A 25314-nucleotide genomic window follows, 5' to 3' on the forward strand; every position below is an offset into this window, starting at 1 on the left:
CAAGGAAAATATAGTCTATTAGACACTGCCACAGATATGTGCAGGACTCAGTGCCCCAGATGCAACTCTGGTCTTTCTACCTGGCATGATAATTACATCCACCATGATACTGATGGTTAAATGTTACTACCCTGACCTCTGCTATTCTGGAATTCCATCATCACAATTGACACTATAGAACCCAGTTCCATACAGAACGGAGCCTTAGGCATCCAGCCGTTGGGGTGTGCCACTCAGATCTCCTTTAAAGGAAGAAATTGCCATGAGGAATGTAGTTATCTGACAGCCTCCAGCTGCCTCAACTTTGAGGTCTTTCGCAGCATTCACTCAAAGGCCACATAGTCCTGGTCAAAGACTAAACATGGCAAAGTTTCTAGAGCTGGTCCATTCTTGCTCATCATAGGATTCCTCTAATGGGAAATCTTTCCCCAAGGGTTCCGCATTAGCCTAACCAAGACTTTCTCTGAGACTCTTAGTTATTATGATGCTACTTCCACCAGCACCAGGGTTCTTGTTGCTATCTGGCTGTTGAGTGATTCAGTCCCACTGAGCAATGTCAACCTGATTGTCTTTCTTTGTTTTTAAGAAACAGGGTCTTGCTCTGCTGCCCAGGCTGGAGCACAGTAGTGTGATCATAGCTCACTACAGCCTTCAACTCCTGGGCCTTAGCAATCCTCCTGCCTCAGCCTCCCAAGGAGCTATGGCTGCAGGTATCCGCCACCACTCATTGACAGCCACTTCCAGTACTCACTGTCTTGGACACAGACTTGAGTAAAAGTACAGGTAATTTATTTGGGAAATGATCTCAGGAAGCAGGTAATGAAGTAAGAGAGATAAATGAAAGGTTCTGTCTGGAAGTTCTGAAGGAGAAACTATCCCATGTCCCTCTCCTAGCTTGTAGTGGCTGCAGGCAATCCTTGGTGATCTTTGGCTTATGGATCCATCACTTCAATCTCTGCCTCTGTCTTCACATGGCTTCTTCCCTGTGTATGTCTGTGTCTCTGTGTCCAAGTTTCCATCTTCCTTTAAGGCACCAGTTATTGGATTAGGGACCATTCTAATTCAGTATGGCCTTATCTTAACTTGATTACATCTGCAAAGACTCTATTTCCAAATAAAGTTACATTCTGAGGTTTCTGGTAGACATGGATTTGGGGAAACACTATTCAACCCAGTACAGGCTCCAAAGACAAATAACTAATTGCATAGTTCTGTCCTTTTGGCCACACGGAAATGTGGCTTCAGGGACCAACAGAGTAACTGTTATTATACATATTATCTTGTTATAATAATGGTTATTATGCACATTTATAATGATTTACATCACTGGATAACTGAACAGTCAAAGTGTTCTCCTAACATGTGCCAGAGCCAAAGTATAACGGTAAACCGGGCCAAGAGCATTCTTTAGTTCAGTGATTTCCAAACCCTTTACCCACAGAATCCTTTGTTCAAATGACATTTCATTAGGGGTGTTCAGACAAACATAATGGATAAAAACTGTTCTTGCAGAAACAGGGCCGGTAGGACCAGAGGCTCCCCCTCCTGGGTCAGATTATGCAGTAAGGAGCTTCACAGAATACGACTGGAAATCCACATACCCACTTTTCTGTTTAATTCAGGAAGCAGTTGCTAAACACAACTAACAGAGCAAAGTAAGTACACAGGGCTAAGAGAAGAGGTAGAGAGAAGAACAAAATGAATTTAGGAAAGACTAGAAAGGAGATTGTTGTGGGCACTTTAAGTATTTGGATCCAAAAAGGAGAGGAAAAGTCTGAGAATACCGATCTGTGGCTTCCCGGTGATCCCAGAAGAAAAGGTAAAAGGATGAAGAGGAAAGGGAAGGAAGAAGCTACTTATACAATGATTTAAAGTGGTAGCTGATGTTTTATGGCTTCTTAGATGAAGCTCTAAAGTTTTCTGAGTCAACTTTGAGTCAATTAGCTACATAGGGCAAGCATGTTTACACTGAATGACTTAGAGATCTTCCCAAATAAGTAGACAAACAGAAGACTTTAGTCTCCAGCCTCATTAATCTAATACCTTTTGTGAGCACTTAGCTTGTATACAAAGCCAAATAAAAGCATTCTATCTAAATAAATCAATAATAATTTATATCTTCTGAGCTCTCCAAAGAGAAATGTTTATATGTAGAGAAAATAAATAAATAACATGACATTTAAAGGAATAAACGATTCTACCCCACAACACACAGGGCAAAGTGAGATACTAAGCCATTCAATGAGTCTTTAGTGTCTTTACCAAAGAGGGAAAGTATCTGTCAAGATGCCAATGGATTAGTCAAACTTTTCTAAGAAAACATTTTAATTTGTTGTCGGAAATAGTTTTATAGTCTAACTTATTGATTCTCACATGTTGAAACTAGCTGAGCCTAATAAGGAACTAAGTATAAGTTGGAAACCATTCGGCTATCAAAATACTGCTAAATAGTATTACAACAATTTCATGAAATGCCTGAATAAGATATTTCATTCAGCAAATGCTATGCCACCAATACCACCTCAATGACTAATTTCTTTCAGTGCAAGGTTCTCCTTGTACAGGCGACTCTTAATCTTTTTTGGATCATGGATCCCTTGGAAGTCTAGTGAAGAAATCTCTTCAATGCATTTTTTAATGCATAGAATTATATGAACACCAATTATATTAAAACATAGTTATTAAAATAATTTTTAAAAAACAAATTTGTGATGAGACAATATATGTCTTCTTTATTAACACATTAGATAATAAAATCTAGGGGCAGGTTATCTAACTATCATAATTTCACATAGTGATGGGCATAGGTGGTTTTTGTTTTTAGGGTTTTGCTTTTTTTTTTTTTTTTTTCTGAGACCACGTCTCGCTCTGTCGCCCCGGCTGGAGTGCAGTGGCACAATCTCAGCTCACTGCAACCTCTGCCTCCCGGGTTCAAGTGATTCTCCTGCCTCAGCCTCCCAAGTAGGTGGGATTACAGGCGTGCACCACCACATCGGACTAATTTTTGTGTTTTTAGAAGAGACGGGGTTTCACCATGTCGGCCAGTCTGGGCTCCAACTTCTGACCTCAAGTTATCCACCCGCCTCGGCCTCCCGAAGTGCTGGGTTTACAGGCGTGAGCCACTGCACCCAGCCTGAGCATAGATAGTATTTTGTGAGATTTGTCAGTAACTAATATGATTTGAATATATCTGTGATTTCTATTGGTGACAGTCATAGGTACTGCTAGTACCACTGTGATGTGTTTTTTATATTCATAACTGAAGCAAATGTTAATTTTAAGTTGGAAATGAATGAAAATAAAAATGCAATTCTTTCCATCCACATACTCAGACCCCCAGTTTCTCACTCCCTCCATGAGGCTCTCTTTGATTTCCAAAGTTCTCCTTTTCTCAATGGCCACAAGGGGCAAGAGGCCTGGATGAAGAAATACCCTCAGAAACTCCCACTCTTCTGGTTCCTGCTGAAGACTCCAGTAATAAAAGTTATTCATACCTACCTCCACCATCTTGGCTGGGAAGTCAAGGTATAGCAGAAGACTGAGTGTCTGGGCTACCCTGCCTGGGACCTGGGGAAGGGGGCTGTTGACACCAATATCAGAGATTCAAAGTAACAGAGATGGAAGGGAGGGTAGAATGTATCTGGTGTCTGTTAGAAAAGCACAGCACAGGGCAGTAGTGAAGAAAGGGGCTTCATAGGCGCTGCAACTGACCAAACCACTGCAATCTCCCAAGTGGTGCAAGCACTGCAGTGGCCTGAATGTTTTTGTCCCCACAAAACGCCTATGTTGAAGCTTTATCCCTACTGTGATGGTGTTAGGAGGTGGGACTTTTAGAAGAGATTAGGTCATGAGTGTGAAGTCATCATGAATGGCATTAGTGCCCCTATTAAAGGGACCCCAGAGATCTTTCTTGCTCTCTTTCCTCCATATGAGGATACAGGAAGAAGATAGCAGCCCGCAACCCGGAAGAGGGCCCTCACCAGAACCTACCATGCTGGCACCCAGACCTCAGACTTCCAGCCTCCAGAAATGTGAGAAATAAGTTTCTGTTGTTTATAAGTCATGCAGTCTACTATAGTTTGTTATAGCAGTGCGAACGAACTAAGTCAGGTCCCCCAGGGTGTTTCATGTGCTGTGTCAAGGGGCCAGACATGTGACTTGTTCAATGTCTCACTTATGGGGGGCCACTTTGTGCTAGGCACTGTGCAAGATGCTGAGAGTAGACACCTTGGCTCTCATGGATCAGGAGCCTGGCACCTTCACTGCTGTCTGGTAACTGCATGAAATGCCCAGAGCCCCTCTGTCTGATAAATAAAAAAAAGAATAAAGAAGCCAGACAGTCCACAGCAGGGTGCGGTGACTGATGCCTGTAATCCCAGCACTTTCAGAGGCCGAGGTGAGCAGATCACTTGAGGTCAGGAGTTTGAGACCAGCCTGGCCAACATGGTAAAACCCTGTCTCTACTAAAAATACAAAAATTAGCCGGGTGTAGTGGTGCACGCCTGTAGTCCCAGCTACTCGGGAGGGTGAGGCAGGAGAATCGCTTGAACCTGGGAGGTGGAGGTTGCAGTGAGCCGAGATTATGCCACTGCACTCCAGCCTGGGCAACAGAGCAAGACTCCATCTCAAAACAAAAAACAAAAAACAAAAGAAAAACAAAAAAATAGAGAATAAAGAAGACACAGTTGTTCCTAGAATAACTTCCGTTTACTTTCAGCCAACTGGGAACAAATAAAATTCAGGCCAAATTATTTTTGTCATTTAGCTGCCAAGACAGACAGCACTGCCATACATAACTCCAAAAATGTGTTGTTTTCGTCCCTGTGTGTCACACTACTAGCAGCAGAGAGGGCTTCCCTCACAGCTTATTCTGTTATCTAGAACCAAAGATTCCAGGGCTACAAGTGATCTTTAAAAAATCATCTAGTTGGCTGGGCACAGTGGCTCACGCCTGTAATCCCAGCACTTTGGGAGGCTGAGGCAGGCCGATCACCCGAGGTCAGGAGTTCAAGACCAGCCTGCCCAACATGGTGAAACCCCATCTCTACTAAAAATACAAAAAAATTAGCCAGTCGTGATGGCAGGTGCCTGTAATCCCAGCTACTTGGGAGGCTGAGGCAGGAGAATTGGTTGAACCCAGGAGGTGGAGGTTGCAGTGAGCTGAAATCACACCACTGCACTCCAGCCTGGGCAACAAGAGCAAAACTCCATCTCAAAAAAAAAAAAAGAAAAAAAAATCATCTAGTCCTACCCCCTAACTTTCAGAAGAGAAAACCAAATCCAAAAAGGTTAAATTAATTGCTAAAAGTTGAATCTCTAGCTAGGAACTAGAATGCAAGTGCCCAGACCTTGTTGTAGTCCTGATGTTATATCGTCAATGGGATCGCTATGCTAATTTAAGCATTAAAAGCCTTCACACATGCACTGAATGGGTCCATCTACATATGGGAACTGACTTAAACATGTTTTTACTCAAGAGATTGTTGTTTCCCACAGCTTTCCTTTATAACAACTATTCCATGACAACTAAAGAATTGATGATAGATATACAAGATAGAGTGAATGTGATGGTTAATTTTTTTTTTTTCCGAGACAGAGTCTTACTTTGTCACCCAGGCTGGAGTGTAGTAGCATGATCTCAGCTCACTGTAACCTCCACTTCCCGGGTTCAAGCAATTCTCCTGCCTCAGCCTCCCAAGCAGCTGGGACCACAGGCGTGCACCAACACACCAGGCTAATTTTTTTTATTTTTAATAGAAACGGGGTTTCACCATGTCGGCCGGGCTGGTCTTGGACTCTTGGCCTCATGTAATCCGCCTGCCTCGGCCTCCCAAGTTACTAGGATTACAGGTGTGAGCCACTGCACCCAGCCTAAATGTGATGGTTAATTTTATGTATCAACTTTACTGGGTCATAGGGTGTCCAGATATTTGGTCAAACATTATTCTGGGTGTTTATGTGAGAGTGTTTTTTGGTGAGATTAACATTTAAATTGATAGGCTAAGGAAAAATTACCCTCCCTAATGTGAGTGACCCTCACCTAATCAGTTAAAGGGCCTGATCCGAATAAGAAGGCTGACCCTCCCCCAAGTAAAATAATTCTTTCCGCCTGGCAATCTTCAACATGGGACACTGGCTTTGTTTCTGTTTTGTTTTGTTTTTTTTAGATGGAGTTTCCCTCTTGTCGCCTAGGCTGGAGTGCAATGGCATGATCTCCACTCACTGCAACCTCCGCCTCCAGGGTTCAAGTAATTCTCCTACCTCAGCGTCTTGAGTAGCTGGGATTACAGGTGCACACCACCACGCCCAGCTAATTTTTGTATTTTTAGTAGAGACGGGGTTTCACCATGCTGGCCAGGATGGTCCTGAACTCCTGACCTCAGGTGATACGCCTGCCTTGGCCTCCCAAAATGCTGGGATTACAGGCATAAACCACCATGTCTGGCTGACACTGGCTTTTCTCCTGCCTTAAGACTCAAACTCAAACTCCTGGATGTTGAGCTTGCTGACCTTTAGACCAGAATTACACCATCAGCTCTCCTGGTTCTCAGGACTTTAGGTTTGGGCTGAAACTAAAGCATTGGCTCTCCTTGGTGTCTGAAAAATGTCCTCCCTTATGACTTTCTCCCTTACCTTCTTCATTCACCTCTACTCTCAGATATCACCTTGGCTGACTGACCTCTCCCCACAAGATCTTGGGATTTGCCAGCCTCCATAATTGCATAGGCCAACTTCTTATAACTAATGTTTCTCTAAAGAATGCTGACTGAAACAGTGACATAGTCATGTGCAGTCTTATGTTCTAATATAGTCTTCCTATTAGAGATAAAATTAAAAAAAAAATTCTGACTCTCCTGTGTTTCAAAATGCACCTTGATTTTTTGTTTTCTTTCTTTCTTTTTTTTTTTTTTTTTTTTTAAGATAGAGTCTCACTCTATCACCCAGGCTGGAGTGCAGTAGCACACTCACAGCTCACCACAGCCCCGGCCTCCAAGGCTCAAACAGTCCTCCAACCTCAGCTTCCTGAGTAGCTGGGACCACAGGAAGGCACCACCATGCTCAGCTAATTTATTTATTTTTTGTAGAGATAGAGTCTCCCTATGTCACCCAGGCTGGTCTTGAACTCCTGGACTCAAACAATCCTCCTGCCTCGGCCTATCAAGGTGCTGGGATGACAGGCATGAGCCACTGCGCCTGGCCCAAAAGGCACTTTCAAAGTAATTTTATTAGATTTTTCCAGCTGCTAATACAAATCATTTGGTAGCACCACCATAGATCAGACACATTAAAAAACAAAGAATAAGTGTGAAATCCCAAAAGTGATCACCAATATGAACACTACAATATTCTAGTTGTTTTCTATTGAATTAGGAGATTGAGTTCCTGCACTGGTAAATTTTATTACTAGATCATAAGTCCTCTGGGAAAGCAGGTCAGCTTAGGGTATGGGAAGAGAAATCAGAGTCTGATAAAAAACAGCAATAATCAGCATTTGTTTGGTGTCTACTGTACGCCAGGCACTTTGCAATTATTCATTCATCCAACAGATATTATTGAGCACTTTTTATGTTCCTGACATTGTTCAAGGCTCTGGAGATACAGCCATGTTAAAACAGATTTGATTTCCTGTTCTCATGGAACTTACAGTTTAGAGAAGGGAGACAGACAAGTAACAAATGTTATAGAGAAAAATTAAGTAAGGTAGTGCCAGGTAAAATAAGTTCTAATTTTCGTCAGAGTTGTCAGGGAAGGTATTACCAAAGCCAAGGTGACATTTGAGAGTAGAGCTAACCAGATGTGGTGGCTCATGCCTGTAATCCCACTGTTTTGGGAGGCTGAGGCAGGCAGATTGCTTGAGCGCAGGAGTTTGAGATCAGCCTAGGTAACACAGTGAGACCCTATTTCTACAAAAAATACAAAAAATTAGCTGGGCATGGTGTTGTGCACCTGTAGTCCCAGCTACTCAGGAGGCTGAGGTGGGAGGATCACCTGAGCTCCGGAGGTCGAGGCTGCAGTGAACTGAATTGTGCCAAAACACTCTAGCCTGGGCAAGAGTGAGACCCTGTCTCAAAAGAGAGAGAGAGAGAAGAGAGCTGAATGAAGGAGGTGAGAAAACAAATTTCATATGGGGGAACATTTTTCAGACATGGGAGCAAGCAAGTACAAGGGGCCTACTGCAGATGGATGTTTGTGTGCTCAAAGAACAGCAAGGAAGCTAGGAGGGCTGGAGCAGAGTTCAGCAAGGAGACAAGTCATAGAAGAAGATAGGTCATAGAAATAGCAATGGACCAGATTATGCAGTCATAAGCATCTTTGAGACAGATAGTAATGTTAACATAAATGAGATAACTGGGATTCAGAGAGGTTTGCAATTTTCCCACCATAACTCAGCCTGTTGGAACCTGGCTTAGACCTAGGTATATGAGTCTAGAGCTCTTTTTTTCTTTTCTTTCTTTTTTTTTAGACACTGTCTCTGTTGCCTGGCTGGAGTACAGTGGCGCGATCTCGGCTCACTGCAACCTCCGCCTCCCAGATTCAAGTGATTCTCCTGCCTCAGCCTCCCGAGTAGCTGGGATTATAGGCACATGCCACTATGCCCGGCTAATTTTTGTATTTTTAGTAGAGATGAGCTCTTAATCTTCCCACTTCATTATGTTATCTTTCTCCAGAAAAAGCTTAAATCCTCTCTGATGGTTTTGTATATCCCTAGTATAGTGCTTACAGTAAATATTTGCCTTTTCTTTTTTACTAGCCAACATCACGTATCCTTCCTTTGTGGCGAGAAATCCCCATTGTGTCCGTCTTGGTTTGTCATAGTGAAATCATGTGGTTTCATATTCCTTCTTCCCAGTCTAGGCAGCTAGGGTGAGGGCATGGGATCTGAGTCAACTCGATGCCCCTTTCCTAGACTGAAACTTGAGAATGTAGTGCAAAGATGCAGGGTCAGGTGGCCACATGAGTCATCTGGCAATGCTGGTGGAGAGCATCTAGCAGGGCAATGGCAGCAGTGGCATCCTGACCGGAAGTGCCTGCAGTATGACCTTGGAGGTATTCCTAGAATCCTCCACTTTTCTTGGCCTGGTTTCCATCATTGCCAAATATTCTGTGACCCAAAAAAGTTGAGGGAGCACCTTCAGCTCCAATTATGTACTCTTGCTGAGAAAAATTGTGTAAGACTTCGGAATGCGGAAAAAAAAAGATTACTTTTTTCTCTGAAGATTTATTTTCTTTTCTAGAATGTTCTATACAGCATACTCTTCCCATGATATTGCTACCTTTTATTGTATTTCAACTATTTTACAACTCTATAATTTGTAGAGAGCCAAAAATAATACAAATGTTTCTTGTCCATACAAATGCAAATTAGTTGTATTGGAATGCAATTGATTATCACCTGTGGATAGATCAATGTTACATATGCCTTCAAATTCATGTGAGCTTTTTTTTTTTTTGAGACACCATCTGGCTCTGTCACCCAGGCTGGAGTGCAGTGGCCTGGTCACAGTTCACTGCAGCTTCGACTTCCCTGGCTCAAGTGATCCTCCCTCCTCACCCTACAGGCATGCACCACCGTGCCCAGGTAATTTTTTCTATTTTCTGTAGACACAGAGTGTGACTATGTTGCCTAAGCTGGCTCAAGCAATCCTCCCACCTCTGCCTCCCAAAGTGCTGGGATTACGAGCCACTGCACCCAGCACACTTTAGTATTTTTTATCTTCTTACATATGTGTATGGTACTTTAAATTCTACTTTCAACCTGTTGTAAGTTTTTACTGGTTCTCTCAATAGTTAATGATTTAAATAAAATCTATGCCAAGTCACATTTACTTATCCATTTAAGCATTCTTTATCTGCTTATATGTATGTATGCAGTACTTTGAATTCTTTCAACCAGTAACATTTTATGGGTTCCCTCAACAATTAGTGAGTTAACCAAAATTTGTTACATGTATTCATTTTATATTTATATCAGATGCATGATATAAACATTCACCTTTTAAAAATATTAGCCTTTTAAATCATTATATAAAGAAGATGCCTGCACTCACATGTTTATTTCAGCACTGGTCTCAATAGCAAAGTCATGGAATCAACTTAAGTGCCTATCAATGGAAGACTGGATAAAGGAAATGTGGTATATATACATCATGGAATATTATGCAGTCATAAAAAAGAATGAAGTCATGTTCTTTGCAGCAACCTGAATGGAGCTAGAGGTCATTATCCTGAGTGAAATAACTCAGAAACAGAAAATCAAATACCACATGTTCTCATTTATAAGTGGGAACTAAACAACAGGTACACATGGCCATAAAGATGGAAATAATAGACACTGGGGACTGCAAAGATGGGGAGAAGGGGAGAAGGATAAATGTCAAAAAAAATTATAACCTATTGAGTACAATGTTCACTATTTAGATGATGGGTACCCTAGAAGCCTAAACCTCACCATTACACAATGTATCCATGTAACAAACCTGCACATGCACCTCCTGAATCTTAAAATAATAATAATAATAATAATAATGTAAAAATAAATTTTTAAAAATTAGCCTTTAACAATAATGAACAGGAAAAAAAATCACATCATGGTTCTGTCTTCAGCTCAGAGGTCTCCCCTCTCACCTCCACCCACCACACACAGCCATGTACTTCATGGAACAGGAGACAAGGGCTCACCTTAGTTCTGGCCTTAACCAATTTGCTAATTCACATAGCCTCCATGGGCTTCAGTTTGCTCATCTTCAAAATGAAGAGGATGGCTTCAACACTCTACTATTTGTATTAGTCCATTCTCACACTGCTATAAAGAAATACCTGAGGCTGGGCACGGTGGCTCACGCCTGTAATCCCAGCACTTTGGGAGGCCAAGGCAGGTGGATCACCTGAGGTCAGGAGTTCGAGCCCAGCCTGGCCAGCATGGTGAAATCCCATCTCTACTACGAATACAAAAATTAACCAGACATGGTGGCATGTGCCTGTAATCCCAGCTACTCAAGAGGCTGAGGCAGGAGAATCGCTTGAACCTGGGAGGCAGAGGTTGCAGTGAGCCGAGATCATGCCATTGTACTCCAGCCTGGGCAACATGAGTGAAACTCTGTCTCAGAAAAAAAAAAGAAAGAAAAAGAAAAAGAAAAGAAAAAGAAACATCTAAAACTGGGTAATTTATTTAAAAAAAAAAAAAAGAGGGTTAATTGGCTCACAGTTCTGCAGGCTGTACAGGTTCCAGGGAGGCCTCAGGAAACTTGCAATCATGGTGGAAGGCAAAGGGGAAGCAGCCAACGTCTTACACAGCCAGAACAGGAGGAAGGCAGGGGAGATGACACATTCTGTAAAACAACCAGCTCCTAAGAGCACTTACTCACCACCACAAGAGCAGCACTGAAGGGGAAATTTGCCCCCATCATCCAATCACCTCCCACCAGACCCCACCTCAACATTGAGGATTACAATTCAACAAGAGATTTGGATGGGGACACAGATTCAAACCACATCACTATTCAACTCAGCTCTGCTTCCTTCTGATTTACTGTGTTACCTACCCTATGTCCTTTCCCCACACTATCCCTTGTGAGCTTCTCTTTCCTTTTTCCTGATACTCCTGTGTTTACTTCTCTTTATTTCACCTTCCAACATACCATGTCCTATTTTCCTACTCTTACTTTCTCAACGTTTAGCTCCTCTGTATTCAGCTTCCTGTCTCCCCACCTCCCAAAACACACACACACAACACACACACACACACACGAATACAGAGCTCTTTGTGGGAATCAAACGACTATAAAAAAAACTTGTACTTATTATAGGATTACATGGAAAAAACAAGTAATTTCCACTCAGATTTGCCCTCAATCCCTCCAGAGAAACTACCTCAAAACAAAATAAACAAGTGCTTTACTAAAAAACAAACTAGTAGAACAAACAAACCACTTTGATCCCACTGTTCAGTTTAACCCAGAGGTAGATAATAGCACAAGTAATGTGCTTTCTTTTTATTCCTCCATGATTTCTCTTGCCAGAAGCACATTCAGACCCTCAGCCTTCCCCAGAGGGGCACATCCGTGCTTACTTTTTGTTTTCCGTGGATGCTATGGTTTGAACGTTCCTCCTTCAAAATTTATGTTGAAACTTGACCCCATCATGGTAGTATTGAGAGGTGGGGTTTTTGGGGAGGTGATTAAATCATGAGAGTTCCATCCCTGTAAATGGACTAATGCCTTATAATATGGCTAAAGGCCCCATTTTGCCTTCCACCTTCTGCCATGTGAGGACATAACAAGAAGGCCCTAACCAGACACCAGATGCCAGCACCTTGTTCTTGACTTCCCAAGCTCCAGAACTATGAGAAATAATTCTCAATTGCTCATGAATTACCCAGTCTGTGGCATTTTGTTATAGCAGCACAAATGGCTACAGAAGTCCACTCAGGCCTGTGTAGTAAGACTCAGGGTGTTTTATTATTTCCTTGTGCTTCCCACAACACACCAAGCATCTGCAAAGTCAGCCTCCCTTACAGAATCTGCTGTTACGAAATGCTTTTATGTATATTTTTTTACTCAGTTTAGTTAAGAGTTCAGATGATAACTTGTCTACCCAAAGTAATGACTCAGTAAGAAAGCCAAATTAGATTCTCCCAAGAGTTGTTACCCACATTGTTGGTCAGTGTGATGTGATTTCTAAGGTTTCTTACAGCTCATAAAATGTCTTGGGGTGTTAGGAGGTTGTAGGAATTGTGTCAAACAAAGAAGGCAAGAGAAACTTCCAGGCCAAAGAAATGCATGTGCAAAGCATGGACTCTTCAAACGGCCCCAGAATTCTGGGGATGGGGATTAAGTAGTTCAATGTGGTAGCAGTAAGAGGACTGTGTAGAATGGAGGACAGGAGGAAGATAAACGCTTAGGAGGGGACAAGTCTTTAAAGATAAGAGAAAGCTCGACCGCAAGGGCCAATCTACCCCTGCACTGTCAGGGAGCTCACAAAAGGAGGCTTCTGTCCAATCTGCTGCTTTATAATTTAACGAAACATTGAGATGTGACTATTTCTCCTTTGAGCTACCCATTTAAACTAATAGCAGACAAATACTAAGAAGTCATTTGACCCTAACTGCTGAAAACTACAATTATAGAAAATGGATGTGTGGTTGGGACCTTTCATTTGTCTTTCCCCATGAAAATATGTGGGAGTGAGAATCTTTTCTTCCCCATATTCCACTTCCTCCCAGCACCTAGAAGTCATTGAGCAATCATCATCAGAAATAAACATGCATAATTGCAATAACCTTTAAATACTTTATGGTGTATTAATAACTCAAGAATTTGGGACAAGCCCTGAACAAACACAAGGCAGCAGGTTTGCCTTTGGCCCTCTCCCAGCTCATGCACACTTTCATTTTGTTCTGTCTTCCCCATGAGATGCACCAGGTGTCTTAGTCAGCTCAGACTGCAATAATAAAACATCATATATTGGGTAGCTTAAACAATAGGAATTTATTTCTCACAGTTCTGGAGGCTGGAAAATCCAAGATTGAGGCACAAGCAAAGTTGGTGTCTGGTGAGGGGTCTCTGACCTTGGGTTGCAGATGGCCACCTTCTCTCTGTGCCCTTATATGGCCTTTCCTTTGTGCTCAAGTGGAATAAGAAAAAAAAAAAGTCTTCTTCTTAATAGGGCCCCACCTTCATGACCTACTCTAAACCTAATTGCCTCCCAAGGTCCCTATTTTCAAATACTATCACATTGGCAGGTAAGTCTTCAACATATGAATTCTGAGGGGACACAAACATTCAGTTTGTAACATTCTGCCCCGGACTGCGAAAATTTATATCCTTCTAGTGTGCAAAATACATTCATTCTATCCTAATAGCCCCAAAAGCCTTAACTCATTCCAGCATCAAGTCTAAAGTCCAAAGATAAGGTCTCACTCATATATGACATATCTGACTTAAGTTGTATTTAGTTTCACCACACAAGCTATTTTCTTCCTAAATACAATGGTGGGACAGGCATAGGATAGATATTTTCCTTCCAAAAGGGAGAAGCCAGAAGATGGAAGACAAGTCCCAAGAAAATCTAAAACCTAGCAAGGTGAATTCCATTAGATTTTAAGGCTCAAGAATAATTCTCTTTGGTCCCATGCTCTGCCTTCTGTGCCCAGTAGGGTAGCACTCCCACCTTCAGGACCCACTGAAAAAGTAATGCACCCAAGGCCAGGCACAGTGACTCAAGTCTGTAATCCTAGCACTTTGGGAGGCTGAGGCAGGCAGATCAATTGAGCCCAGGAGTTCAAGACCAATCTAGGCAACATGGTGAAACCCCATGTCTACAAAAAACAAAACAAAATAAAGCCAAAAAGTACAAAAATTAGCCAGGCATGGTGGTGCACACCTGCAGTCCCAGCTACCCTGGAGGCTGAGATGGGAGGATGGCTTAAGCCCAGGAGACAGAGGTGCAGTGAGCCAAGATTGCACCCCTGCACACCAGCCTAGGTGACAGAACCAAACCCTGTCTCAAAAAAAAAAAAAAAAAAGTAATGCACCTGAGACTCTGAGTTGCTCTGCTCCCAAGGTTACACTTTGTGGGCTCACTCCTAAGGCACTGAGTAGGGCTTTTCTCACCTTCTAAAACAAGAGGGGTGGTCACACTCTTTGAAACCAAACAGGAGATAGCCTTATCCCCTAGGTCTGTGGTAGGAGTGACAGCCCTGATGATCTCTGAGTCACATTTGAAGTCATTCTTCCTTTTCCTTGAAGAATAGCATGCATTCACAGCCAAATAGCTATACAGTCCTTTTCACAGAATCCAAGAATTCCAACAGCCTTCCTTCATTTTGTTACATCTCCATCCCCTTCAGTTCAAACTGGCAGTGTTTCTGCTCATATCATCCCATAAACTCTTTCTCAAACCATAATCCAGCCATACCCTTGGCATACTCTTCAGAACATGCTTTCTCGGTTTCTTGCAATATGAATAGGCTGATTGTTTTCCAAACCTTAAAGCTCTGGTTCATTTTTGCTTAACAATTTCTTCTTCATTCATCTCTCTTCTCTCACATTTGACAGAGTCTTGCTCTGTAGCCCAGGCTGGAGTGCAGTGGCATGATCTCAGCTCACTGTAACCTCCACCTCCTGGGTTCAAGTAATTCTCCTGCCTCAGCTTCTCAAGTAGCTGGGATTACAAGCATGCACCACCACACCTGGCTAATTTTTGTATTTTCAGTAGAGACAGGATTTTGCCATATTGGCCAGACTGGTCTTGAACTCCTGGCCTCAAGTGACCTACCTGTCTCTGCCTCCCAAAGTGCTGGGATTACAGGTGTGAGCCACTGTGCCCAGCCCACACATTTTTCTACAAGCACTCAGGAGGAGCAAAGATGCTCCTTCAACACTTTGCTTAAGAATTTCCTCTGCTAAATATGCAATTTCATTGCTCACAAGTTCTACCTTCCACAAAACACCTGAACACCATTCAGCCAAGTTCTTTGCCACTTTATAACAAGAATTTCCTTCCTTCCAGTTTCCAATAACATGATCCTAATTTCCATCAGAGACCTCATCAAAATCTCTTTTTATATCCATATTTCTAGCATGCACCTGAAAACTCTTTCAGCCTCTACCCGTTACTCAGCTCCAAAGCCATTTCCACATGTTTAGATATCTTTTACTGCCACACTTCACTTCTTGGTACCAAAACCTGTGTTAGTCTGGGTTCTCCAGAGAAACAAAACCAGTAACAGATAGAAATATATATATCCATAGTTAGAAATGCATGCACAGATACAGATAAAAATATAAAGATATTTATTATAAGGAATTGGCTGATGAAGTTATAAAGGCTAAGAAGTCCCAAGATCTACAGTCAGCAAGCTGGAGACCCAGGAGAACCGATGGTATAGTTCCAGTCCAAGTTCAAAGGCCTGAGAACCAGGAGAGACAATAGTGTATGTTCCAGTCTGAGTCAAAGATGAACAGCAGAAGACCAATGTCCCAGTTCAAAGACAGGCAGGGAGAAAAAAATTTTCTGATTCAGTCTTTTGTTCTTTTCACGCCTTCAATGGACTGAGTGAGCCCCACCCACACTGGGGAAGGAATCTGTTTTGTCTACTGACTCAAGTGTTAATTTGATCCAGAAACATCCTCATAGACACATTCAGAAGTAACGTTTAACCAAATATCTAGGCACTGGGCACCCCATGGCCCAGTCAAGTTAACACATAAAATTCACCATTACACTAGGTCAGTCTTACCCCGACCTGCCTTCTTGTCCTTTCCTCACACGTGCTACACCAGCTTTGCCCTTTCATCCATTTTCACCAATAACCAATTTTTTTGTTTTACCCAATAATCAGGGACTTACTAGGAGACCCCTTAATTGCCCTAAAAATTACTACTAAGATATTGATGAGTGCAAATGACTTAACAATTACTTTTCCTATTTGCATTTCACCTGTACTTTACCTAAGGAAGAAAAAAAATTATTGTGGTAAAATACATATAACGTAAACTTACCATTTTAATAACTGTTAATTACCTTCACAATGTTCTACAAACATCAGCACTATCTAGTTACAGAACATTTTTTATCACCCCAAAGGAAACCCTGTAAGCAGTCACTCTCCCTTTTCCCTCCCCTCAGCCCCTGGCAACCATGAATCTGCTTTTTGTATCTATAGATTTGCCTATTTTGGAGAGTTCATATAAATATGTGACCTTTTGTATCTGACTTCCTTCACTTAGTAAAGAATTTTAGCCTCCTTAGCTAGGGAAAGTGAAAAATGGAAAGGAGAATATTTTATGATATAAACATTTGGGAGTTATCTCTAAAACCTCACCAACTTTCTACATCACTGTTTTACCAAGATTTGGGAAACTCATCTGTTATTCATCTGCCTGGACGTTCTGCTGTGCGTTATTAACCCTTTCTGTGGAGGTCTGAGGCAGCCTGAACACAGGCTGGCACTGGGCCAGGATGGAGAATGTGTGGACACTTCAGGAGGCTCATTCCACACCATCAAGAGGGCTTCCTTCCCTGAAAGCGACCTGGCAGGACCATGCAGGTCATAAGGTCATACAGCCCTGAGGGGCACAAGGATGCTGATCCCAGACACTTCAGGCCTTAATAAAAATAAAAGCAAGCACATCTCTGGCAGCAGAGTAAATTATTCGTGGGATTTATTTTAAAAGAGAGACAGCTTTGTTGAAAAAAAAAATAGACACCACATCAATTCCAAAAATCATTTCCAGAAGAAAATGTCTAATCAAATGGGAAGTAGTGCATTCGTGGTTTGCACAGCATAGCTACCGAGTTTTTTAAAAGGGTCCCAGATTTGTTCAGATACTGGTTTCCACAATATGGGTCATCTGAAAGGATGCATAGCTTTATTGGGAATATAGCACATGGATGGATGGTCAGAGACTACAAGTCTGCTGAAGTTTTGTGGGAAATGAGCAGTTTGGCAGCCCCCGAGTCTGGAGGGTCTGAGACTGGCATGCCAGAAAAGCTCCAGGTCCGTAACAGCCTCTTTAAAACCATGAAGCCCTTGGAGGCCCAGCTCAAGGGTTTCAGTATGTGTCACAGATTTCATTTGCTCAGGACTCTCACAGTTTTTATGTGGTTTAACGAAGTACCTAAGCAGAAGCTTTTTTTTTTCTTTTTGGCTTTGCCTTTTTCACCGATTTCCCTTTTTATTAATAACCAAACATAAATATATTACAAATATTTTTACCTTTTATTTCCATCTTGTTACTGTTTATGTATTTGCTAAGATCAAAGTCTGGATTCATCCTCTAACAAGTTCATGTTGTTTTCCTGCTTGTTTCAAAATATGGACCCCGCAGCCTTTATAATTCTATTCCATGATGACTGGCTTAAATTTAATCATATACACAAGCACTGCAGTAACTCGCTAAACAAATCCATGTGAGGATAAAAGGAACATCACAGGCCTGATCTGGGCACAATGGCCTTTGTATTTTTCTCCTTTTGTTTTCAGAAGTTTCTGGAGCCTGTAACTGAACGCAGCAGACTCTAGTTAAAAATTCACCATGATTCCTTTTTAAATAATAGCATTTGTCTTTTGATGAGGTCTCTCAGCTCAAAAGGATCCCTATTTCACATTATAAATAGTTACTGTCAAAAGACATGACTATAAGACAATGACACTGGGTTTGAACAAATATACTTGAATTTATCCATACAAATGAATGATGTCCCCATCAAAGTAGGCAGCAACATTCCAGCGATTTTCAAAACAGTTTTGAAACTCCAGTTAGGAACTTCCTTCCTTCACACACTACGGGAATTGCTTTGAATGTCAGGGTATTTTTTAAAAATATTTTTTTTCATCAGGGTAAGTTTCATTTTTGGAAACAACCAAGCCATTTAATAAGGCAGACGGTAACTGACTGGATAGAAGTGCTGTAGCCTACAATATAATGAGACTAGCTTTTACTTTGATTCCTTAATTAGCCCTAAAGGTAATTCCAAAAAAAGTTCCTAAAATGTTTAGTGCAATAGCAGTACAGTTGAAAGAAGTGTCTAGACTCCCAAAGCAACTTCTCTGAAAAGGAAGACATTCATTTGAACATACGGATGAATTTCTTAGAGAAAAATAGGCCATCCTTGCCTTGCTTGATTTTCTCAAAAACTCTATGTTATTGGTGCCTAGCTAAGGGAAGTTGACTATTTTCAGCTTCCTACAGTATCAAATTTTATTTAACAATTCATTTTTGAAGTGAATAGAAGCGCAAAACCTGAAATACCTTCATAGAACCATGCCTTAGTGACCTATTCCAAAACAGACTTAAAACATTCACAGGCGTATGCACAACTGATAAACATAAATATACATATGAATATATACTATACATAAGATAAATAATAAATTAAACATAAATGTAGTGATAAATAAATATGCATACGGATATTAATTAAATATACAAAATATTTAAATGCCAACTCTACCCACCTGAATTTTACTTTTAATTTCAGAGCCTTGATTCCAATGCTAATTTCATTAAGCATGTCTATAACTGGGTTGCAAGAATGGTATATGCTGAACGGTAAATGCTGTACAAATTAACTTAAACACGTTTTGCATTACATTCTCATAGAGGTATTTAATATGGGTAAACTGGTGTTTTGTGTGTGTGTGTGTGTGTGTTCCAGTTAATGAAGAAAGGAGGAAGGAAAGTATCACACATTGAATACCTATTGTACGCCAAGGGCTGAACACGTTACTATTTAAATGCTCTCAACATCTCCGAGCTAAATATTTTAATCCCCATTTACAGAAAAATAAAAATAAAAAACTAGGCTAGAGAATATAAACAGCAGAATGCTGGCATACCATTGGCAAGTGGAGAAAATGCATTTAGAATTAGCTGATCAATGGGTGGAGAAAAAAGCCAAAGGCCACACCCATGTGTTTAGAAAATGAAATGAAAGTCTCTTCCCAGAGAGAATCTTTTTTTCCCCAAAAAACCTGATGCTATCATTTCCCTTAATTTTTCATTAACCTCAATAATTCTTTGCCATATTTTTCCAAAAATGAAACAGGACTATTACCTCCCAATGTGGGAAAATAAAATGTTCTATGAATTTTTATCTTGTTATTTATACAACAAGCCTTTGGAAACCAGTTAAGTGCTTGAACCAGTTAAGTATTTGGGTGGGACATTTAAAAATAAATCAAGCTAAATAAAGAAGTGTTAAAGTTCATAGAGCAAAGAAAAAGTTATAATCCTTAGCTGAAAGATACTAGGAGACATAGCCATCTATGGGGGTTAAAGATTTAAATTTAAAAATAATAATAATAAAGAGAAGCTCCTTCAAATAAATGCAGGAGGAAATTGAGAATCAACATCAGGACAGCTCATTTGACCTTACGGATATATTTTACTGGTGACTTTCTGGTTTTCAAAACTGTTTCTGATTTTTTTAACTTGTTAATGGCTCCAATTTGCCAGCATATTTCCCAGTTCCCCTGTATTCCACTCAGTAAATCTTGTTCATTTTCAGCTTTTATTTTCTTGTTCAGTCCCTAATAACGGACAATTTGTAAGGAAGCAAACTAAAACACTTGGATTAAATAATGCATTTTTTTTCATTATGCTGATGGGTTCATTTTCAAAACAAATGTAAGCTTCATAATTTACTGATATTTCGTGATTTTTACCTTATTTCTGTGAGGATTTCTTTCTCATGGACTTCTGTCTTTGCCATTGACAAAACTCCTAATAATACCACCCAAATCCTAAAAGGGGTTAAACTTCAAGTGACTGATGTTCTGAAAGTGACATGATCAAAAAATAGTCTCATCCAGAAATTTAGATTTGTGACTTAAGTTATCAGAAGAGTTTCCAAAACTCCAAACAGCCTGCATTAATTCTGGCTTTTTTGGTTTTCTGTTAGTCTGCCTCTGTTTTTATACTAAAAGGGTATACAGAAATTTGTGTGCATTGCTCATCCTGAGTTGAATTCCTATGAAGTAGAGCTGAGTACAGAAATGTCTTTCACTTCAAAGGGCATACTGTGGGGTGCAAAGAAAGGCAGGCTTGGGTCCTTCCAGCCAAACATTGCCCTCTGGCACTCATGCTCAACTCCCCAGGGATACAAGAGGGCAATCTCCGGCCCTTGTAGCTCTAGGTAACATTTCCCACAACCCCTGACTCATAAATATTGACATTTGGGAAAAATAAGACCAAAAAAGAAAAAAGGGCTTTTTCAAAACAAAAAAAAAACTGTTTTTAAGATGAAGTGTTTATATATTTTCTAAAGCCTGGTTTATACCTAAGCTATCACTATAATTTTTAAATAAAATATACCTCATCTTGGGATTTTAAAAAAATAGTATTATCCATCAACCACTAGAGAATATAGGAAAGAAAACTTTCAGCACGGTTTTTATTTATTTATTTTATATTTTTCCATCCGGAAAATAACAGGACTGAGTTGAAAGCAATTTTTTCTAAAAGTAGCAATAGCAACATTCTCAGATAAAATCTTTTTTGCTGAATATCAACGTTTAAATTATAGTGAATTTGAAGTTATTTATTTTCAGCAAAAGCTTTTCTTTTTCCTTTTAAATATTTGTCTCCACCCCTCTTTGCTTCAAAAAACAGAAATGATGTGACAACTGAGACCTTCGAGAATTCCTTAGACCCCAGCCTGTTTTCATTGTGGAACTACAGCGCGACCTGGTGGTAGTTGCTGTTTTTAGCATGGTTTATGAATAAATGGTCAAAGTTTCAAAACCAAAACAAAGGAAAGCCTTGTGTTTAGACTTTTAGAAAATATAGTATCAGGAAAGAAAACAGTGGGATGGCTCTCTTAGAATCATAATTACAGATAGAACTTTTTTTAAGTTTTTTAACTATAATATACTTTTTTTTCCCTTAGGGTGTCGCTCTGTTGCCCAGGCTGGAGTGCAGTGGCGTGATATGAGCTCACACCGCAACCTCCGCTTTCTGGCTCAAGCCATCCTCCAGCCTCAGTTCCCGAGTAGCTGGGACCACAGGCACGAGGCACCACACCCACTTCTTTTTTATTTTTTCTTTTGTATTTTTTTGTAGAGATAGGGTTTCACCATGTTGCCCAGGCTGGTCTCCAACTTCTGAACTCAAAGAGATCCGCCCACCTCGGCCTCCCAAAGACCTAGGATTACAGGCGTGAGCCACTGCGCCTGACCAAATATATCTTTTAAGAATAAATAATCTAGTAAGGTTATTGATGAGTCATTATATCACCTGATACAATTTTTAACATTCATATATTTTCAGGAATATGAATTTTCAGTCATATTTCCTCTTTTTAACTACTTTTACAGTTCTCTAAACAATGCTTCAAAAACATTAACAGAAAAAAATATTTAATCAGTGATACAAGAGAAGACTGTTTTATATGCTTTTCTTTGACAACTAGCAGCACATTGATGCAAGAGTTTATAGACAAAATGGTGATTCATAGTAACTGTAATCTTCTCTGTGTTTATTGTACTTTACACCCATCTTATCTAATCCTCTCAACCACCCTGTTAAATTCAGAATCAGTATCTCCATTCTACAGATTAGAAAACTGAGGCTTCAGGATATGAAATAACTTGTTCAAGGTCACTCCTCTGGTGAGTGACAGAATGGACTCAACCCTGGGCCTGCCTGCTCCAATGCCTAGGCATAGGGTCAGGCTGGTGATAGGCCCTTTTTAAAGATTGGCTGATTCAATGAGCAAATGCATCTACTGTGAGAATATTAAAGGTAAGCCTGGACTGGATCCAAAGTCTTCTGACTTGATAACCAGTAAATCTTCCAGTAAAGTTTAGACATATTTTGAACTTTCTCTTGTTTCTGCCTGCAGTTGCACTCTCCTGAGCCTGCTAAGTCCCCACTATTTTCTACAAAAGAACAAAGAAAAAATACCAGGCGAGAGTGACCCATAGCCTGAGCCCCAGGCTGTTTTACCCACGAGGCCCTAGCAGGGGATCTTTTCCACTTTTGTGCCATAGATCCCTTTGGAAGCCTAAGTGAAGCTCCTGGAACTTTTTTAAAATGCCCCACAAAGAAAGCCAACTATTTTAAAATAAAATTTTCAAAAAACTTTTAAAAACTCGGCCGGGCGCAGTAGCTCACGACTGTAATCCCAGCACTCTGGGAGGCTGAGGTGGATGGATCACTGAGGTCAGGAATTTGAGACCAGCCTGGCCAACATGGTGAAAACCCATCTCTACTAAACACACACACACACACACACACACACAAAATTAGCTGGGTGTGGTGGCACACGCCTGTGATCCCAGCTACTTGGGAGGCTGAGGCAGGAGAATCTCTTGAGCCCAGGAGGCGGATGTTGTGGTGAGCTGAGATTGCACCACTGCACTCCAGCCTGGGTAACAGAGCAAGAGTCATCTCAAAAAAAAAAAAAAACTTTAAAATACTAATTTGTAAATATGTGCTTATTTATTAATGCATTTAATAACAAGATTTAATAACAATGTCACAACTATATATTCAAAGTAGCAATTAGTATAAATGATGTTTTGGGATATTCGTAATCCCTGTAATGTGACATGAATATATCTATTGTTTCTATTGGTGAGAGAGATATTGTTAATATTAATGTGATGTATGGCCTATATTCTTTAATAAATAAAATTACAAATTTCAGTTTGAAGTTAATGAAAACAGATTTTTTTCATCCAAGTTCATGGACCTTCTTACCCTCCTGAATTAAGAAATCAAAGCTAATCTTAAATAAGTCACAGCTAAATCTTTTCAAAAACTAAAAAATTTTAAAATTCTTAAATTCTGTCAAAAAAATGCTTAAGCAATATATATATGTTTCCCTTGATTAGTGTGAGATATTCACTTTAATATGAATATTATGAATAATATGAATATTCACTTTAATATGAATAATATGAAGCAAGACTCCAAAAATAAGCATGGATCTAGGACCTAGGGAGATGTTAAAACAACCTTGCCTGAGTCTCATGACAGTAATCAACAAATAATAGTATTATTTGCCCATAATAATAATTCAGTTTGTATGCATCTGACAAAGGACTAATATCCAGAATCTACAAGGAACTCAAACAAATCAGCAAGGAAAAAAAACAAACAAACAAATAATCCCATCAAAAAGTGGGCTAAGGACATGAATAGACAATTCTCAAAAGAAGATATACAAATGGCCAACAAACATATGAAAAAAAAGTTCAATATCACTAATTATCAGGGAAATGCAAATCAAAACAACAGTGAAATACCACCTTACTCCTGAAAGAATGGCCATAATTTAAAAATCAGAAAATAACAGATGTTGGTGTGGATGTGGTGAAAAGAGTGCATTTTACACTAGTGGTGGGAATGTAAACTAGTACAACCACTATGGAAAACAGTGTGGAGATTCCTTAAAGAACTAAAAATAGAACTACCAGTTGATCCAGCAATCCCCCTATTGGGTATCTGCCCAGAGGAAAAGAAGTCAATATAAGAAAAAGACACTTGCACACGCATGTCTCTAGCAGCACAGTTCGCAATTGCAAAGATATGAAACCAGCCTAAATGTCCATCAGCCAACAAGTGGATAAGGAAAATGTGGGATATATAACTACTCAGCCTCAAAAAGGAAAAAAATAATGGCATTCGCAGCAACCTGGATGGAGTTGGAGACCATTATTCTAAATGAAGTAACTCAGGAATGGAAAACCAAACAGGAATGGAAAACTAAGCTATGAGGACGCAAAGGCATGAGAATGATATAATGGACTTTGGAGACTCAGGGGGAAGGTTGGGAGAGGGCCAATGGATAAAAAAGTACACATTGGGTACAGTGTACATTGCTCAGGTGACAGATGCACCAAAATCTCAGAAATCACCACTTAAGAACTTTTCCATGCAACCAAACACTACCTTTTCCCTCAAAACTATTGAAATATAATAGAAATAAAAGAATAAAAAAATCATAATAATAATTCAGTTTGACATGACAAACATTGAGCAGCTACTATGCTAGACACACTACTAGTGTTTTTAAAAATACATTTTAAAAGTGAATACTTCTTTGTCATTTGTGCAGCATTTATCATTTTCAAAGCAGTTCTACACACATCTTTCTTTCAAATCTAATTACAACTTCAAGGGGCAAGGCAGGGTCTGGAGACTTATTCATTAATTCTGCATTCCCACGATAAATCTCACTCTGGACCCATAGTAAGTACTCAATAAAAGAAGACAGTTTACTCCACCTTTATCCCCCAAGCAAGCCCCTGAATTAGGGCTGCCAGGTAGGATACAGAATGTTCAGTTAAATTTAAATTTCAGATAAACAATTTTTTACTCTAAGTATATCCCATGAAAATGATTTTTAAATATCTATAATATGGGACACACACACATTTTTTTGAGTATTTGTTGTTAACCTAGATTTCAAATTTAACTGGGCATTCTGTGTTTTTGCTGGCTAAATTTGGCAATTCTTTCCTGAATTTCTCTGCCCAGGAGCTCCCTCTGCTGCAGGAACTCAACGATAGGGAGGAAGAGTCCAGAAAAGTAGGGCTGTCAGCACCTCTGTGAGCAGCCGACGATCCACAGCGGATGGAGTTTGGTGGTAAAGGTACTCACTTCCTGTCTCTCTGGTGATGATTTTGAGCATGTTCTACAAAGTCTTTCAGATGGTCCCAGTAGGTTGGAGCCCAGCTGCCCTCAGTGGTAACCTGCCCATTAACGTATCCTGTGTTGGTTTCCTTTCCTCCCCTACCTCACCTCCCCACTCCCCTTTCTATGATTCCTAGAGTCACCTCCCAAATAAACTTTCACATTTACA

At 40.3% G+C, this 25314-nt stretch overlaps 1 long non-coding RNA gene across 9 annotated transcripts; it reads left to right on the top strand.

Annotated features, from left to right (window-relative positions):
• The first annotated feature begins 422 nt into the window (after nucleotides 1–422).
• Nucleotides 423–25314, top strand: LINC02507 (long intergenic non-protein coding RNA 2507). 9 transcript variants are annotated; one of them, NR_187409.1, is made up of 6 exons: nucleotides 423–783; nucleotides 1513–1655; nucleotides 3406–3525; nucleotides 3934–4031; nucleotides 9456–9580; nucleotides 24990–25314. It is a non-coding gene; the product is annotated as a long intergenic non-protein coding RNA 2507 (long non-coding RNA). The 9 variants fall into 9 exon arrangements; NR_187408.1 differs by having other exon boundaries at nucleotides 3941–4031; NR_187410.1 differs by lacking the exon at nucleotides 1513–1655 and adding an exon at nucleotides 6168–6248.

The sequence above is a fragment of the Homo sapiens genome, chromosome 4 (genome assembly GCF_000001405.40).
Source record: "Homo sapiens chromosome 4, GRCh38.p14 Primary Assembly".
In the NCBI taxonomy this organism is placed as follows: domain Eukaryota; kingdom Metazoa; phylum Chordata; class Mammalia; order Primates; family Hominidae; genus Homo; species Homo sapiens.